Source organism: Homo sapiens, chromosome 6, assembly GCF_000001405.40.
Source record: "Homo sapiens chromosome 6, GRCh38.p14 Primary Assembly".
NCBI lineage: Eukaryota > Metazoa > Chordata > Mammalia > Primates > Hominidae > Homo > Homo sapiens.
In genome coordinates, this window is record NC_000006.12 from 38,429,412 (window position 1) to 38,449,017 (window position 19,606).

Below are 19,606 nucleotides of genomic sequence, written 5' to 3' on the forward strand. Positions count from 1 at the left end.
ACCATCGCACTCCAGCCTGGGTGACAAGAGCAAGACTACGTCTCAAAAAAAAAAAAAAAAGAAAGAAAAACGGATTTGAATATAATTTTACCACCCTATTGAGCACCTTGCACACATACGTACTTAAATGTTAACCTATCCTTCCTCTTATTTGCAAAACGTCATAAGAAACTCCATCAAATACTTGGCTAAAATCAAGTTACACTGCATCTACAGTGTTGCTCCAATTTTCCAACAATAAAACCCTAAAGGAAAATCTATTTCGGAATGACTTATTTTCAGAAAATTCAAGTTGGTTACTAGTGTTACGCATTTTTTCTCAAATGCTCAGAAACTATCAGGTTAATTGCTAGTTCTAGAATGACTGCCAGGGACAAAAGCCAAGCCTCTTTGCATAGAGAATTTCTCCTTTTGGGGGAAAAACAATCACATATAATATTAGGCTTCTTGCTAAAAATTATGCTGAATGAAAATTCCAAAATCAGATCTGAAAGTTCTCTGAGCTTCCTGGGATGTAATTCAGCAGAACCTAGAGATCAGAATTAATTTAAAGTGGAAGATACTCATTTAATCTCCCTTTGATTCTCTTACCTACCCTGGGCTCCCATATCTTCTCAAACATGTTTGTTTTTTCCTTTCCTGTTTGAAGACCAAACTCCTTACTGAAGAAAAGTAAAGTAAGGTAGGAGATTATAATTCTGTTTTGTCACTGATAGCAAATAACATCAGATGATTTTTCCTAGGTAGGTACTATCCTTTTCCTTACTTTTTTTCCTTATTATTCAGAATGTGGCTTTAAACTTTTTTATTTTATTTTATTTTTTTAGAAATAGGTTCTCCCTCTGTTGCCCAGGCTGGAGTGCAGTGGCATGATCATAGCTCACTGAAGCTTCGAACTCCTGGGCTCAAGGGATCCTCTTGCCTAACCCTCCCAACTAGCTGGGATCACAGGCTTGTGCCACACCACACCCAACTTATGTTTTATGGGTTTTGTTTAGAGACAGGGTCTCATTATGCTGCCCAGGCTCATCTTGAACTCCTGGCCTCAAGCAATCTTCCCACCTTGGCCTCACAAAGGGCTAGGCATGACCCACCGCAGCTGAAAAAAAAAAATTTTTTTTTGAGACAGGGTCTTGCTCTGTTGCCCAGGCTGGGGTGCAGAGGCATGATCACAGCTCATTGCAGCCTTGAACTTCTGGGCTCAAATGATCCTCCTGCCTAGGCCTCTTGAGTAGCTGGGACTACCCTAAGTATTCCTGGCTAATTTTTGTTTTTTAAATTGTTGTAGAGACAGGGTCTCCCTATGTTGACCAGGCTGGTCTCGAACTCCTGGACTCAAGTGATCCTCCAGCCTCAGTCTTCCAAAGCGCTGGGATTACAGGCATGAGCTACTCCAATAGGATTTTCATTCCCATCACTCCACTGAAATGTTTCCTGACAAGGCTGCTATCAATTAATCCTGTGCCAACCCAATGGTCAGGTCTGTCCTGGTCTTACTCTTCTCAGCGTCATTTGATGTGGTTGACTTCTGTCTTTTAATGCTTTCTATACTTTGCTTTCACAATGCAGTACCCTTCAGGTTTCCCTTCTGTCCTTTGACAGCTCCTTCTCATTTCGTTGTTGACTCTACGCCTTTGTCTTGACCTCCAAAGGTGAAGGGCCCCATTCTTCAGTCTTTGTCTCTCTTCTCTTCTCTCCTCTCTCCATAGGAAATCTCACCCAGTCCCATGGTTTTCAATACCCATCTGTATGCTAATAACTCTCAAAGTTTATCTCCAGTCCTGATTTCTCTCCTGAGTTCCAGACTCATAAATCCTATTGCCTCTTCAATATCTCATGTGGACATACACTAATATTATGATTATGGGTAATAGTAATAATATTAACAGTAGCAGCAACAATAGCTAACATTTACTGAGAACACAGTATGTGTCCAGTTGTGTTTTAAGTGCTTCAGGGCATTAATACATTTAATTTTCATGTAAACCATATAGCATACATACTATTACCAACCCAGTTTCACAGATGAGGAAATTGAAATAATTTGTTCAATATTCCACAAGTAATAAATGCCAGAACCATGCATTTAAAAATTAAGATAGCCTTCAAAAACCCTAGATTCCCATCCCTCAAACCTGCTCCTCCCCATTGTCTTATCTACCATCATTCACACCCTTGCTCAAACAAAAAAATTCTCTCCTAATCTCTATCTACTCTGTCAGCAAATTCTGAATATAACCTGACTCTGACCACAGGTCTTCAATTCTACTGCTGGCACCCAATGCACATCCCCTATCATTTCTCCTCTAGACTGATAAATGAATAGTGTACCTCCTTACTAGTTTCTCTGCTTTCTACTCTTGTCTGTCTATATCCCCATTGCAGCAAGAGTGAAACACTTTTTTAGTTTTTAAAAAGCTGTTTAAAATCTAATGGCATCCAATCTCATTTGGAATACAATTTAACCCTGCGACATGGCCTACAGGGGTCTTGCTATGGGTTGAATGTGTCCCTCAGAATTCATGTGTTGGAAATCTGGTACCTGGTCCTGGTATGGTGGTTTTGGGAGGTGAGGCCTTTAAGAGGTGATTAGATCTTTAAGAGGGACTAATGTTGCTCTTTCAGATGAATTCTGGTGGAAGTAAGTGAATTCTTCCTCTCACGGGACTGGATTAGCTACCTCAAGAGTAGGTTGTTTTGAGGGAAGGCTATCATGTTTTGTCTCTTTTGCACAAGCTTTCTTGCCCTTCTGCTTTTCACCATGTTATGATGTGGTAAAAAAGCCCTTGCCAGAAGCTGCCACCATGCCCTTGGATTTCCCAGCCTCCAGCGCTGTGAGCCAAATATAGTTCTGAAACTGCCTTTGCAAAGATCATGACAGTGAGAGAAATCTCGCATGGCTGACTTCATCTTGCCTCTAGCCTCACAGGCTGACTGTCCTCACTCATTCCTGAGCGGGAGGAATTTGGAATTAAGTATGATAACAGTCCCTCCCTAAAACATCCCCTCCTCATTTGGGGCTGAGACACCATTTGTAAGACTAATGAGAGGCCACAAGATTGGGATTATGGGAGGGTCCTGAATTCTGCTAAAATGTAGGCATAGTTTCCATAATCCCCTTACTGCTCAGAATCACATGGACAGAGGTCATAAGATTTGTGAATTCTCCAACTGATCCTATAGATAACACCACTATTGTAGAACCTAAGATTGGTCTTCTGAGATGTTTTTCAGACTTTTGCATTCTGGCAACCCACTGACCTCATGACTAATGACTTATGATTCAACAGGTCCTGTGGCACACACCCTCCCCACCTAGAGGCAGATTCAGTGTATGAGGACCATTTTCCACACTCCTAAGATTACATCGCCAATCAGCAGCATCCATTCCCTAGTCCTGTGCCCACCAAACTATCCTTGAAAAACCTTAACTTCTGCTTTGAGTGATACCTCCAGTTCTGTTGCATGGCCAGCTTCACATTAATAAAACTCTTTCTCTACTGCAATAGCACAGTCTCAGTGAATTGGTTTTCTCTGTGCAGCAGGTAGGAACAACCCACTGGGTGATTATATTTCTTTTCTTTATAAATTACCCAGTCTCAGATATTCTGTTATAGCAACAGAAAACTGAATAAGATAGCCCTATATGATCAGGCTCTCAGCCACATCTTCAGCCTCACATACTACCACTTGCACTAGCTCTTGCACAAACAGGCCTTCCTCTGTGCCTTGAGTATACCAAGTTCATTCCATCTTTGAGGATTCTGCAAAGTTCTCCCTTTACTTGGAATGCTTCCCCTTGAGATTTTTACTTGCCTAATTCCTTCATGTCAGTTAAGATTCAGCTCAAACTTTACCTTCTATGATGATCCAACTCAAAAGTTTCTCATCCCTCTACTGTCAGGCCTCTGAGCCCTAACTAAGCCATCATATCCCCTGTGACCTGCACATATACATCCAGATGGCCTGAAGCAACTGAAGATCCACAAAAGAAGTGAAAATAGCCTTAACTGATGACATTCCACCATTGTGATTTGTTCCTGCCCCACCTTAACTGAGCGATTAACCTTGTGAAATTCCTTCTCCTGGCTCAGAACCTCCCCAACTGAGCACCTTGTGACCCCCGCCCCTGCCTGCAAGAGAAAAACCCCCTTTGACTGTAATTTTCCACTACCCACCCAAATCCTATAAAACAGCCCCACCCCTATCTCCCTTTGCTGACTCCTTTTTTGGACTCAGCCCGCCTGCACCCAGGTGAAATAAACAGCCTTGTTGCTCACACAAAGCCTGTTGGTGGTCTCTTCACATGGACACATGTGACATCTACCATGTTTTATTTTCTTCTAGCATTCATTATATCTGAAATTGCCATGTTTATTTCACTGTTTATTTATTGTCTTCCCTTCCTCCACCATAATATGTAAGTTCCATAACAACAGAGACCATGTCTGTTAAGTTCACTGCTGTATACTCATGACTGGAACAGTGCCTGGCACTCAATCGCTATTTGCTGAAAGTGAGGACTAAGCTCTGATTTTTCTTATCCTGGCCAAATTCTTCTCTAAGGGGTCTGGCGAGTCATGCTCTACAAACCATATATTCTCAGCAGATGAGTTTTACTTAACACTATATATTCTGACTTACTTTCCATTCTGACTCTGGTATAGCATTATGTGACAAAGAAGAAAATCAAAATATTTTACCCCAAGTTTCTTTGCCATATTCTGAAATGGCCCTGCAAAAAATTTTGTGGGGCAAAATTTGCATCTGTAAAGAATCTCTATTAACATAGCTAGATCTTTTTCTTCCAGTTTCTCCCAACCCTGAAGAGATTAACAGAGTCTAGCACCTTTTAAAGGTCTGAATAGAAAACATTCGTCATCTGTTGTCTCTAAGGTCAGCCACTATGAGACTTCAAAGGAACCTTGGTCTCCACAATCTTTTATCTTAACCTGAATATTTCCTTTCTATTGATCCCAGGTCTTTAGACAAACTCAACCAGAAAATGTTTAAATGCACCTATAGCCTGAAACACCTCCCAGCCCCGCTTTGAGTTGTCCCACCTTTCTGGACCAAACCATTGTATTTCTTAAATGTATTTGATTGATGTCTCCTGCCTCCCTAAAATGTATAAAAAACCAAACTGCACCTCAACCACCTTGGGCACATGTTGTCAGGGTCTCCTGAGGGCTGTGTCACGGGCCAAGGTCACTCATATTTGGCTCAGAATAAATCTCTTCAAATATTTTACATAGTTTGACTCTTTTTGTCAACAAAAGACTGAATTCAAATTCAAATAGCTTTCTCTTACACACTCTCCCTAGTAGTAGTCTATCATGCAGGAAATTTGTGATTATGCATTAAATTTTGTTTTAGTTGTTTTATATAGACAGATATATGTATACTACAGTCCCGCAGTATCCACTGGAGATTGGTTTCAGGACCCCTGCAGATAACAAAATCTGCAGATGTTCAAGTCCCTTATATGAAATGGTGTATTTGGCCGGGCACAGTGGCTCACGTCTGTAATCCCAACACTTTGGGAGGCCGAGGCAGGTGGATCACCTGAGGTCGGGAGTTCGAGACCAGCCTGACCAACATGGAGAAACCCTGTCTCTACTAAAAATACAAAATTAGCCAGGCATGGTGGCACATGCCTGTAATCCCAGCTACTCGGGAGGCTGAAGCAGGAGAATAGCTTGAACCTGGAAGGCAGAGGTTGCAGTGAGCTGAGATTGTACCACTGCACTCTAGCCTGGGCAACAGAGCAAGACTCTGTCTCGGGGGGTGGGGGGGAAGTTAATTGCTAATATTCCCTATGTTCCATATCCTCAGTAGACTAATGCAGGCTACTGTATCAGAATGACCAGGCTTAGGTTTATGGCGCAAGACCAGACTGGCCAATATGGTGAAACTCCATCTCTACTAAAAATACAAAAATTAGCCCGGTGTGGTGGCGGTGCCTGTAATCCCAGCTGCTCAGGAGGCTAAGGCAGAGAATCGCTTGAACCTGGGAGGCACAGGTTGCAGTGAAAAAAAGAAAAAGAAAAGCATGGTTAAAGTTTTGTTCTTAAAAAAAGTCTAGAACACACTAGAAAAGAAAAAACAGCCAACTTTTGCACCAAAAAAACTCACAGACCTACTTTTCTTTCTTTCCTTCTTTCCTTCCTTCTTTCTTTTCTTTTCCCTCCCTTCCTTCCTTCCCTCCCCCTCCCTCCCTTCCTCCCTCCCTCCTTCCTTCCTTCCTTTCTCTCTCTCTCTCTTTCTTTCTCTCTGAGACTGAGTCTCACTCTATCGCCCAGGCCGGAGTGCAGTGGCGTGATCTTGGCTCACTGCAACCTCCACCTTCTGGGTTCAAGCAATTCTCCGGCCTCAGCCTCCCGAGTAGCTGGGATTACAGGTGCCCGCCACTGCGCCCGGCTAATTTTTGTATTTTTAGTAGAGATGGAGTTTCATCATGTTGGCCAGGCTGGTCTCAAACTCCTGACCTCAAGTGATCCGCCCACCTTGGCCTCCCAAAGTGCTGGGATTACAGGTATGAGCCACCTCACCCAGCCCAGAGAGTATACTGGTATAACCATAGGCCCAAGGGGACATTCAATATTAACATTCTAAGTACAAAGTTAACAATTTGGAGCAAAATCATGAAATGTCATAAATTCCTTAAGTATCCTGAAACTGAAAGTTATACAGAATCTGCCTAGTACTGATAAGTAGATAAATAGAAAGTACCATTTCAATAAACGTAAAAAATGAAGTTAAGAGGTAAAGATTCCTGCCCATAGTCAACATAAGCAGTAGAATGAGGAACACCCAAAAAGACACATTCCAATTTCCTGTCTTAAATCCAAATCTCCCACGCTACTTTCTATAAATACTTTATTTTCCAACACTGAGAAGAAGGGCTATAGAATCTTCTGTATGTGAAACTAATGAAGCAATAATATCTACCCCAATTCTATTTTTTTTTTTTTTTTTTTTGAGACGGAGTTTCACTCTTGTTGCCCAGGCTGGAGGGCAACGGCACGATCTCGGCTCACTGCAACCTCTGCCTCCCATGTTCAAGCAATTCTTCTGCCTCAGCCTCCTGAGTAGCTGGGATTATAGGCGTGCGAAACCACGCCCAGCTAATTTTTGTATTTTTAGTAGAGACGGAGTTTCACCCTGTTGGTCAGGCTGGTCTCAAATTCCTGACCTCAGGTCATCCGCCTGCCTTGGCCTCCCAGAATGCTGGGATTACAGGCATGAGCCACCACACCTGGCCCAAATTCTAATTTGGATATATGTTGACATCAACTTTCTCATTCAAGGGGTTTTTCATAAAAAGAAGGGAGCGGACAGGTTTGAATGCCTTGCTTGCGCTCCCAACTCCCTGGCTTTACCCTCAGTAAGAACAGCATCTCTGACTCATGGTTGTTGGCATTATTCAAGTCACAGAGTGAGTTTCTCTCAGTATCTGTAAACAGGAAGTGCTATAAATTACAAGTCTACAACGATGATGATAGTTGTAGTCATAGGAATATGTATATGTGTACCACTCTTCAATCACTCAGCTTTTTCCTGGCTTTCTGTGATATCTAAAGCAAGCCAGTTTTTCCCTTATCCTCCTAATGTTGCACAATCAAACACAGTATCAAAAAGGGCTGGGTTGGTGATAATGCATATTAAGCATCTAATTAATACAAATTACAATAAACCTAAGGCTTAAGGAGTATGAATACATAAATACAGAGTCAACTATGATCACGTGTATATTTTTAAGACTGAAAGGTCAACGTGACACAAAGACAGGTGGACACCAAAGATGCTAACGACAAAGCTCCCCTGGATGTGTGCCACTGCCTCAGGGTAGCGAAGGGAGGGTCACGGCAGCTGGTAACTCCTGACAATAGAGAAGCGGGGTGGTCCTAGTGAGTATCTTACCCCTGTCCCCCATGGCTCTGGAGTTTATCAACTGCAGGATTTGCCAGCTCACAACAGTTTTCAGAGGAAGAAATATAGGACGATGCAAATACCTTATCTGGATTCATGTTCTTTTCCCATTACTATTAATTTTTACTTCTATTCACTGAAAAGAAGACATGTGAAAATAATATATGTCTTTTTCTGGGTTTATTGTTATTTCTTTGAAAAAGAAAGACATTTTGAGAAAGACTGTGAAAACTGTAATGCCCTTTCCACATGTTTTCTGATGTGTTTCATCTTTAATCTTATACCCCAGACATATCTGTCTTACTTTGTAATGCTTGTAAGGATTCCAGGCTTTCTGCTTAGTACAGAGTTCACGTAGAGAAGAAGGTTTCATTAATGATAATTAAGGTTGAAGATTATACTGAAATGTTCAAGAGTAAACTAAAATACAATTTTTAAGCAGGGGACAGTGTTCAAATAGGATCTCTGTATTTAGGCTTTGAAAAATCCAGTGGTCAAGTCTTTTTTCTGGGTGGGGAATGGGAAAACAAAATGAAAAGGGGAAAGAAAGGAAAAGGAAAGTAACCTATGTTGAAAGGTGACATGTCAGACTCAGTCTCAGATTTTAAGAAATCTTTTCAAGGTCACATAGAGCTATGTAAGTATTGAAGATGGAATTCTAATTTAAACAAAGTCTACTGGTTCCAAAACCCAGGGATCTCCTGGGATACGAAGCGAGGATATTTTCACTCACATCAACAGCACTGACTGAAGCCTGAAAACATTTGTAGAAAGGATCTAGCTTGAAGAATACTACTACTTGATTCAGTAAGGCCAAACAGGAAAAAAAAAGGAAGGAAGGAAGGAGGAAAGGAGGAAAGGAAGGAGGGAGGGAGGGAGGGAGGGAGGGAGGGAGGGAGGGAGGGAGGAAGGAAGGAAGGAACAGACTACTACTGGATTGCAGCTTATGGCAATTTAGTACACAAAAAACTGCTTTCACATACTTTGGATCCTCAGCATAAGCCTGGGCAGCAGAAAAACCGTTGAAGTGGAGAAATGGTACAAGGTGCAGAGTATAGCTGATAGTTTTTCAGAACTAAGATGGCAAGTAGATAATTATAATTCTGGCAGAGGCATGGGAGTGATGGGACAGTGCATGAGTTCAGTGGAGGAAGAAATAAAAAGTACTAATTAAAATATCTCCTGTTTCTACCAACAAGGCAACATTTTCAACACTACCAGGAAATAAACCTTTCCGTCATTTAGGTCTCAATTAAATGGACAGATTCCTTTCCTTTGGAAACTACAAGGAAGGGTGAAAGTTCATTCTTTCAATCTTACAAGTATATTTATTGAGCATTTACTATGTACCAGGTATAGTTCTAGGTGCTAGAGAGCTTCATTTTAGTGGGGAAAGATAGAGACAACAGATTAAAAAGACAAAATAAATTAGTAAAATATATTTGGTTATGTGGTGATCAATACTATGCAGAAAAACAAAACAGAAGGAAGATGGGTGTTTGGCCTTACTAAGGCCTTACTGAGAAAACGGAATAGAAGTGGAGGCCTGAAGGGAGTGAGGAAATAAGCCATGAAGATATCTGAAGAAAAAAGCTGCCAACAGAGGGGACAGCAAGTCCTGCAGCAAAAGTCTATCCCTTGTGTGTTCAAGAACAGCAAAGCGTGTCCTGGAGTGAAGAAAACAAGGAAGAGAGTATAGTAAGACAGTCCAAGAGAAGACAGGACACCTGATAATGTGGGGTCTTGTAGGCTCGTGTAGCAACTGACTTTTTTTTTTTTTTTTTTTTTTTTGGTGAGATGGAGTTTTGCTTTTGTCACCCAGGCTGGAGTGCAATTGGACAATCTCAGCAGCTCACTGCAACCTCCACCTCCCAGGTTCAAATGATTCTCCTGCCTTAGCCTCCCAAGTAGCTGGGATTACAGGCGTGTACCACCATGCCCAGCTAATTTTTTTTTGTATTTTCAGTAGAGATGGTGTTTCACCATGCTGGTCAGGCTGCTGTCGAACTCCTGACCTCCAGTGATCTGCCTACCTCGGCCTCCCAAAGGGCTGAGATTACAGGCATGAGTCACCATGCCCAGCCTGTTTTTTTGTTTGTTTTTGACAGAGTCACACTCTGTTGCCCAGGCTGGAGTACAGTGGCACAATCTCTGCCCACTGCAACCTCTGCCTCCCGGGCTCAAGTGATTCTCCTGCCTCAGCCTCCCGAGTAGCTGGGATTACAGGTACCCACCACCATGGCCATCTAATTTTTGAATTTTTAGTAGAGATGGGGTTTCACCATGTTGGCCAGGCTGGTTTCAAACTCCTGACCTCAAATGATCCGCCCTCCTCAGCCTCCCAAAGTGCTGAGATTACAGGCGTGAGCCACCACACCTGGCCGCAACTGTGACTTTTAATTTGGGCTTCAATTTTAACAGCTCACTGCAGCCTCAAACTCCTGGGCTCAAGAAATCCTCCCTCCTCAACCTCCTGAGTAGCTGGGACTACAGGCATATGCTACTGTTCCACGTTCTGGAAATATTCTGAAGGTAAGAACTAAAAGGACTTGCTGGCAGTCAAGAAGAGGGATATGACAGAATGATGGCCTAAGCAAAACATTGGAATTACTATCTAGTAAACTCCTGAAGACTGCAGAAGATGGGGGATTGTAGAGGCTAGCTCAGGAGTATGGCTTTGTTTATGTTAAGTTTCAGATTCCTATTAAACATTCAAGTAAAAGTGTCAAGTAGGCCACTGAATTTATGAAGCTTGGGTTCAAGGAAGTCCAAGCTGGATATATAGATTTGGGAGTGTTCAGCATAGATATAGTTTAAAGCCCTTGAGACTTGATTGAGGTCACCAAATTTGAGCATGCTTATGTATAGAAAAGAAAAGAGGGTCACAGATGAAGGCCAAGGCACTTCAGTTTTAGAGGCTGGAGGAGAAGGAGGAACCGGCAAAACGCACTAAGTAGAAACAGCCAGTGGGATAGGAGGAAACCAGAGAAGAGAGGTGTCCTGGAAGTCAAGTAAATGACATTTTTCAAGGAGCAGGGTGTTAACAACTGAATCCAGTGCTGCTGCTAAGTGAAGCAAGACAAGGACTCGGAAGAGACTACTGGGCTCAGCACTGTGGTAATAATTGGTGACCTTGACAACGGCAGTTTGAGGGTGTAAGATGAGGGAAGGCCTGTTTGGAATAGGTTTCAGAAAGAACACAACCACTTCTGGACAACTTTCTTTTTCAAACATTCTTAGATAAGCTTTTTAAATTCTTCCATCAAGTCCCTTACAATTGTAAAAAGCAAGCAACACTAATGTTAATTAAATGTTTAGTGTATATTATAGTAACATATTACTTTTAGGTATGTCAAATTTATGGCATAATAGACATATTTTAATGTGTTGAATGTCTACTTTATAATGCATTAGGGCCTTCTGTACCACATATACTAATTAAACATTTATGTATATTTTATAAAACTTTTAAAGCACAGATAATGAGCTATAGTAGATATAACACCGGTCAGGGAGCCAGGAGATTTGGGTTTTCTAATACAGCATTGGCCAAATCTAGAATTTTTTTTGATATTGAGTACTAAGTTAGCAAAGTAATTTGCACTTATACTTTTCCTGTAGGAAAACATAATCCATTTTATCATATGCTTCCCAGAAACACCCTGTGGAGAAGTGGAGAAGCTGGGTGACTGCCTATGAAGGCAATAAAGAGAATCACAACCCCAAGGGTAAATTTCATAGAACTCAGAGCCAACACTAAGGTAAAACAGAAACCTTCTAAGGAGCACAGAAACACTGGGTGACACAATTCCAGGCCCAAAGTGTTGTGGGGCTGCTGGCCAAGGTAGCCTGTGTCCCAAAAAGGGCCAATTTAGAGGTCCTGCTTCTAGGTGAAGGGCTAAGAATGTGTTCTCTTGGGTGGTAGTAGATCCTTTGGAGGGACCTAGTCCCTCCCCATTTGTTTGCCAATTCCTACAAATTTGGGGGTGGGGAGGTGGTTGCAGGAGACTTTTGAATACAGAATCCTATATGAGATGCTATAGAGAGTTACAGAGAAGAAACTTATCACCTTATCCTAGGAGATGTTTTTGTTTTAGAGAGGGGGTCCCAGTCTGTCGTCCGGGCTGGACAACGCGAGCCAATCATGGCTCACGGCAGCCTTGAACATCTGAGATGTTCCCACCTCAGCTTCGGGAGTAGCTAGGACTACAGGCACCCGCTACCGTGCCTGGCTAGTTAAAAAAAATTTTTTTTCATAGAAACAGATCTCATTTTGTTGCTCAGGCTGGTCTTACACTCCTGGGCTCAAGTGATCCTCCCACCTTGGCCTCCAAAAGCACTAGTATTAAAGGCATGAGCCACCACACCCAGCCTCTGAGAGATATTAAGAAAGCAATAATAGCTGGCATTTATTGAGCTTTTACTGGGTGCCAGATACTATTCTAAGTGCTTTACATATATTACCTCATTATTCCTGACAACAACCTATGAAGTGGATGTTATCAACAGTCCAATTTTACATATGGCCCAAACAAAAGTTAAAGTCATACAGTTATACCTAAAGGTATACAACTAGAAAGTACAGAGCTGAGAGATAACCCAGTCTGGTTCTACAGCCCCTCTCTGATGCATGAAGCCTTCCTCCCAAAATTCCCGAGATGGTAAAAGTTCCTATTTTAAGGGACCAGGCAAAACTGCGGCAAGAGAGAATAGCTTCCCAGTACTAGATTGCACAGAAATACATATAACAAAATCACAGTGCCTTCATAATGCTGATGTTGGTGAGACAGTTTTTGTTAGGCTCCATTGCTGTTTTGTAGGGGCAACATTTTGTCTGTGAATTCCTATAATAACAGAGTCTGGGCCGGGTGCAGTGGCTCACACCTGTAATCCCAGCACTTTGGGAGGCCGAGGCGGGCAGGTCACGAGGTCAGGAGTTCGACACCAGCCTGGCCAACATAGTGAAACCCCGTCTCTACTAAAAATATAAAAATTAGCTGGGCATGGTGGTGCCTGCCTGTAGTCCCAGCCTACTCGGGAGGCTTGAACCTGGGAGGCGGAGGTTTCAGTGAGCCAAGATCACGCCACTGCATTCCAGCTTGGGCAAGAGAGCGAGACTTCATCTCAAAAAAAAGTCGTACTATATATATATTTAAAATAAAAACAGAAGTACTAAGTACATGGAGAGGAAGAATACACCCAAAGAAGTTAATATGATGACCCCAGAAGCTTCACCCAGTCCACACTGTTTAACAACAGATGTCCCTCCTGTGAAGAAGGAAAGTTGGAGGTCATATAGAACAGACTCATTTGTACTCTTTTTTTTTTTTTTTTTTTTTTTTTGAGATGGAGTTTCGCTTTTGTTGCCCAGGCTGCAGTGCAATGGTGCAATCTCGGCTTACCGCAACCTCTGCCTCCCAGGTTCAAGTGATTCTCCTGCCTCAGCCTCCTGAGTAGCTGGGATTACAGGCATGTGCCACCATACCCAGCTAAATTTGTATTTTTAGTAGATAGGGGTTTTTCCATGTTGGTCAGGCTGGTCTCAAACTCCCAACCTCAGGTGGTCTGCCCGCCTTGGCCTCCCAAAGTGCTGGGATTACATGTGTGAGCCACCGCGCTTGGCCCATTTGTGCTCTTAAAACATAAAAGGATCAAGGATTTTTTAAAAAAAAATTGTAAGAAACTCAAGCTAGACAGAATCATCTTAATTTCTGCTATGTTTGTGAAGCAAGTATTGACTTGGCAGGCAAATGGATTGTGGTGGTATGACTTTGTAACACAATGGACCACATGAACAATTTAACAAACAAAGCTAGAATTCTATACTAACTTTATCAGAGAAGAAAAATTCAGGCTGCTGTGAGGGGAATCAACAGAGACTGAAACCCTGACACTGACAGACAAATGTCCTCTGAAGCCAATATATAACACACTTAAGATTAGTTTAGGCTGGTCTTGCTTCTAGGTGAAGGGGTGAGAATATGTTTTCCCTGGCTCAACTTACCACACCTCAATGCCTACAGATGTGTTATCACCTAACTGTTCACTTGTTTCTGTCATGTGTTTTCATGTTCATTTCACAATGCATGCCCTGCCCCTGTCTCACTTTCCCCTTATTCTGGCATATCAACTCGTATTTCCCAATTTCCCACTATAAAGGGCATACAGTGCTACCACTTCCTCTCTCCTCCAAAATAGCTTCTCCACCATTCTCACTCATTATAGGGATTAGCAAGCAGGCAGCTGCTCAAGCCAGAAATCAGGAAGTTGGCCCTGAACACACTCTCTTTGTCTCTCTCTCTCTTTCTCTCGCTCACTCATTTCCACCTCTTACCCACATGCACACATCCAATTAATCGCCAAGTCCTAAACTGGCTTCCTTCTAAATCTCTCAAATCTATTTACATCTCCTGCCCTTGTTGCTACGACCTTAGCCTCCTAGCTAGCATCTCTTCTCTCATCAAAATTACTAAACAGTCTCCTTACTGGTCTCCCCATCCACTCTGAGCTCCCTCTAATCCACTCCACACCTCTGCCCAGGGGTATGATTCTTCAAAACGGAGCGGTTTTGAAAGATACAAATCTGCTTGTGTCATTCCCCTGCTTAAGTGGTTTCCTGCCTCTACAGGCTGCATCAGTGTGACCTAATCTGCTCTTGCCTTTGGTCACTGTGCTCTCTTCTTAACAGGCTTCTCCCAGTTCTTCACACTGGGTACCTGATCACTAAGTGCTGGACCTTCTTTGTCCATACCTTTTTGCCTTTCCTTATCTACCTCAGCTCTAATAGCAAAGAGCCAGGCTTAACCATCTAGAAGAGGTTAAATCCCCTGGCCATGTGTCTTCATTGGACGTTTTGTGCTTTCCTTCAATGACTGTCTACTTCATGGGAACTAATACTCTGAGAACAGGGATCAGTCATGTTTGTGTTATTCACTACAGTAAATTCCTGGAGTCAGCACAGTGCCTGGCGTGCTTGATAAGTATTTTGTGAATTTACTCCAGAATCATAAAAGAATCATATGGCTGGATGGAAATTTCCTGGTTACTTAGTCCAGCCCACTGCTGATACTTCAATTCTCTTCCTCTAGAGAACTGGAGTCTTTCTTATAGCATATAGAATAATTAGTTAACAAATATTAATAAGGAAAATGGTTGTTGTGAAAAAATGTAAAGTATCCTACGGCCTAGTGATTACGAGCTTGGACTCTGGAGCCAGACCACCCAAGTTAAAATCCTAGCTTTGCTACTCACTAATTATGTGATTTTGGGCTTCTTACTTAACCCCTCTGTACTTCAGACTCCACATCTATAAAATGGGGATAAAAAGGGTACCTTTTTCATAGGGCTGCTATGAGGATTATACAGACTGTTATGTTGGTGTTGGCTACTATTATTATTACTTGGTTTTATATTAAGTGTATGCCACAATTTAAATGTTAAAACAGCTTTATGGAAATGGGCTGACTTGTCAAATACAGTGCTAAAAAGCTACTTGCCCCCATGGTAACTTTTCACTAACTAAAAGAAGATTTATTCATTTATTCATACATAATTAGAGTCATTATTTCTACTTACTGATATCTAGATCCAGTTCTCTTCCTTCTGGACACATGGAAGACTAAATTTCCTATTCCTCTTTGGCTGGCTGGGGCCATGTAAATTGTGAGTGGGAGTGGCAGGAGTCCTGTCTGAACTGGAATATTGAATTGCTAGAGTGAGACCCTCTAGAGCTCTTTTTCCCCTGACTCTGTGATCATGGAAGCATGTATTGAGTCTCTGTCAGCGTGGGTCCCTGAGTAACTACAATGAACAAAGACCCTACCAATTCTTACTGAATTTGTTGTATGAGTGAGAAATATGGCACTAAGATTTTTAGAGTGGTCTATAACTACAGTATAACCTAGCCTATTCTGACTGATATAGTAACATCTGCAGGCTATTACTTTCTTAATCAATCCATAGGAGAGAAAACCTTGATAGGATTCTTTGGTCTTAACTATTTTTCTGTTGACTATCCTCATATTTGACCAGAGTTAATCTGAAGAGTTTAATAAAAGGCTGGAGAAAGTCAAAGTCTACCAGGAAGGGAAGTGACCAACCAACCAGTGGTATCAAGTTAATGTAAGATGTGTCAGTCTGAAAGAGAGTTAGTGTAATCCAGTGAAGTCTCCTCCAAGTCAGACTGTCTAGTATTATCATTTTATTATTCTGTAGTATTACACATTCAAAGAATATGGGAGATTCTATCTGTTTATGAAACACATTCCTAAAATAGACTTGTTAAAAAAATATTCTTTTTGGGTTATCTGTATCATCACAGTTTTTTCATTAAATACAGACATGAACTGAAAAAGAAAAATGTCTAAATGACTATATATTGAAAGAAAAAATGTCATCATCAGATCTTAAAAATGAGAATGTGGAATTTACAATTCCAGAAGACATTTGTATTGATACTGTTACCATATAATCTGGCAAGATGAGTATGGTGGGAAGGACAAAAGGCCACATGCTTATCTCTTGGCTAATATAAAGTTATTGAGAGGCTAAATATAGAATATCATGCCAAGTACTGCTGAAAAGGAAAAGAAATTAGAAAACTCATTTCTAGAAGCACATAATTTAGACGGTAGTTGAAAGAGTATATTAAATGTTTGTAATGCAATTTCTATCCCCCTTAGACAGAGGCCTTACTGGTCCTCTGAGGAAAGTTCTCACTGAACCCAAGGGTAAAAGATTAGAGCAAAACAAAAAGTAAGACACGTGAGTAGTGAGGGCTCCACTCACATGGCTCAGATAACTGCAGACTTGCCACTTTCTAGCAGAAGTATGTGGGCAGCTGAAGACACAGCACATTCAGTCAGTGTAAACCATCACAAGAGATTGACCACAGAAAGGTAGCCCCTTTAAATGCACCCTGTACTTCTGCCATGTAGCATAGGTAATCATAATTAAACAACTAGTTTTTTTTTTTTTAAGAGTGAGGTTAAGAGCAGAAGTTTAATAGGCAAAAGAAAGAGAATAGCTCTCTGATGCAGAGAGGGGTCCCGGAGAAATGGGTTGCCCTAATCAACTAGTTTTATAAGGATTTGTTGAGAGTCTGTCTCTACCAGTGGACTGTGAGGTAGCTGTTCACTTTTGTTTCTGTCACGTGTTTTCACATTCATTTCACAAGGCATGCCCTGCCCCTTTCTCCCTCTCCCCTTATTTTGGCATGTCCACTCGTATTTCCCATTGTTTCATGGAACGACCCTAGTCACACTGATACTTGGCATTTATTGAGTGGTAACTCTATGCCAGGCACTGATATAAATTTTTACATTTATGAGTTCACCTAATCCTGGCAATAATTATGAGGCAGGGTCGAGCTTTAGCCATATTTTACAGACAGGGAAATTAAGGCTTAAACAAGTAGCTTACCTAAGGTCATATAGTTGAACTTGAACCCAGTTTGTTGGACGTCAAAGCCAATGCTCACTATACTACACTAAATAGCTAGGCAGAGCGGGATCAGTCTTTCTAGCACGTACTGCAAAGTCCTAAAGTGAAACCCTGCATACAAATCTAGACAAATTAAACCAGGGCAGGCAAAATTCCTGTACACATGGCTAATTAGAAAGTCTGAATGATCCTCAAAACTCCTTGGTTTAAAAAAAATCAGTACTAATAATTCTTCAGTGCAACATTCATATTTTTCTTCTTTAATGGCATTTCACAGCTCACCAAACAATTGTCATTGCTTAGATTTTTGCAAAGAGTACTTGACCACAGTATTTGTTGTTTAGCAAGTAAATGAAAATATATCGAGATCTGTAAATGTTGGCTAGTACTGAAAGAAAATGTTGCAGCAGAGTGAAGACTCAAAAAAATCCTGCTGGTTTGTCAGCATGGAAACATGCATGGCCCATCCATTAGAGATACAGAATTTGGGTCACTGTATATAGCAATTCGTTACAATTCGGCTGTCAATTTTGGGATCAGAAAAATGAGAAGAGGCTCAAAGGACTTTTCAATCACCTGACGTAACAAGCAACGAACAAAAGACATTGCAAATAATTCAGCAAAGTCAAAAAGAACCTTAAACATTAGTAATATTTGGAAACTGTGACTGAGTTCATGTAAAGCGCACTGACATCCTTATTCTAGAAGAAAAACACCAGCAGGAGAAGAAACAAGAGCTCTAACAGTCATCAACAATTTAGCATGTTGCTAAAGAGCAAGAAAGTGGAAAAATTCAAGGATGTTACAGTACAGACTCTGTACCATCATACTGAACTTTGACACAAAAGAGCTAATTACTAGACATCTTTTCTCAGCAATTAAGATTACAAAGCAAGAAAAAATATGGAGCTGCCTGCCTCGGGAAGAAGAAAAAACCCTGTATCTCTTCCTTCTTTTTCCCTATTCACCAGCCTCTTTATTGGAAGAAGGCTGTACAATGTAGTTTATCATGTCAGAAAAACATCTCATCTTAACATGATTGATATTTAAGCTTTTCCAGGGTAAAGTTAAAGAAGCTGGTGGGATACAAAAAGTAAATTAAAGTTTTAGTCATAGGATGAGTGAAGACTGGAGAAAGATACGTGGACATTTGGTCCTCATTCAATAGCTTTAAAACGGATCTCTGGACCTATATTCACATAACTCTCCAAAAGGCAATTTATGGTTTAAATTCAGCTTGTTCAGTTGCAGCTCTGGTTAACTCCAGAGCTCAAGCCTTGTTACAGTAATCAGGGTGTGTCAAGGGACATACGGGAGGAACCAAAGGGATGGAAATGGCAAACTTTGCTTCATCCCCAGCCAAAGCCTCTCTTCCGCAACCAAAATTCTCCACAATAGTGTATCACTTTGTCCCACCTGAAAGTACCTGGAATGAGGGGAAAGCACAGATAACTTCTCTAACCTTACACATGCAAAATCCTTATCAAATGAGGAAAGGAAAGGTAAAAGAAAGAGAAGGAGAGGGGAGAAAGAATGCAATGTAAGAGGGAAGGTGACGGTGGGAGATAAATATTTTTGTAAGCCAAGGTATAGAGTAAAATTAAACATGGAAGGAAAAAGGACAAAGACAGTATTCTAGCTTATTATATTCCATTCTTAAATTTAGTAGCTGACAACTACCAAGCACACTAAAGGCCAGTTCCTATCCCGCTCTTTTTTTGCTTGCATATCATCCCTCTCTTTTTTTGAGACAGTCTCGCTTTGTCTCTGCACTCCAAGCTGGAGTACAGTGGTGCAATCTTAACTCACTGCAACCTGCACCTCTTGGGTTCATACAATTCTTGTGCTTCAGCCTCCTGAGTAGCTGGGATTACAGCCGTGTGCAACCATGCCTGGCTAATTTTTGTACTTTTAGTAGAGACGGGGTTTTGCCATGTTGGCCAGGTTGGTTTCCAACTCCTGGCCTCAAGTGATCCGCCTGCCTCGGCCTCCCAAAGTGCTGGGATTACAGGCATGAGCCACCGCACCCGGCCCCTTGCTGGCATATAATCTCTTAATAAAGGTTATTCCATTCAGCCCCTTGTCCCCAGAGTTCTATTATAGTATTTATGAGGACCATATGAGAAAATAATTGATATAACCACATGGCCCATCTGGGTACTATTCAATCACAACTCAGAGACCATGGAGTAATAGTGTTTAGTTCTGGGTGCTACACTTTACAAAGGTCATA

At 41.5% G+C, this 19,606-nt stretch overlaps 1 protein-coding gene across 8 annotated transcripts in view, besides 3 other annotated features; it reads right to left on the reverse strand.

Annotated features, from left to right (window-relative positions):
• The window catches only part of BTBD9 (BTB domain containing 9), a 471,479-nt gene that overhangs the window by 260,961 nt on the left and 190,912 nt on the right, over positions 1-19,606 (reverse strand). The window lies entirely within an intron of this gene.
• Positions 3,543-4,235: an enhancer, noted in NCBI's record as "NANOG-H3K27ac hESC enhancer chr6:38400730-38401422 (GRCh37/hg19 assembly coordinates)". NCBI's record gives its function as "activates a minimal SCP1, AML or CMV promoter by ChIP-STARR-seq in naive H9 embryonic stem cells {active_cell/tissue: H9 hESC(naive)}" and the evidence as "EXISTENCE:reporter gene assay evidence [ECO:0000049][PMID:30033119]".
• Positions 5,621-6,312: an enhancer, noted in NCBI's record as "H3K27ac hESC enhancer chr6:38402808-38403499 (GRCh37/hg19 assembly coordinates)". NCBI's record gives its function as "activates a minimal SCP1, AML or CMV promoter by ChIP-STARR-seq in primed H9 embryonic stem cells {active_cell/tissue: H9 hESC(primed)}" and the evidence as "EXISTENCE:reporter gene assay evidence [ECO:0000049][PMID:30033119]".
• Positions 6,313-7,005: an enhancer, noted in NCBI's record as "H3K27ac-H3K4me1 hESC enhancer chr6:38403500-38404192 (GRCh37/hg19 assembly coordinates)". NCBI's record gives its function as "activates a minimal SCP1, AML or CMV promoter by ChIP-STARR-seq in primed H9 embryonic stem cells {active_cell/tissue: H9 hESC(primed)}" and the evidence as "EXISTENCE:reporter gene assay evidence [ECO:0000049][PMID:30033119]".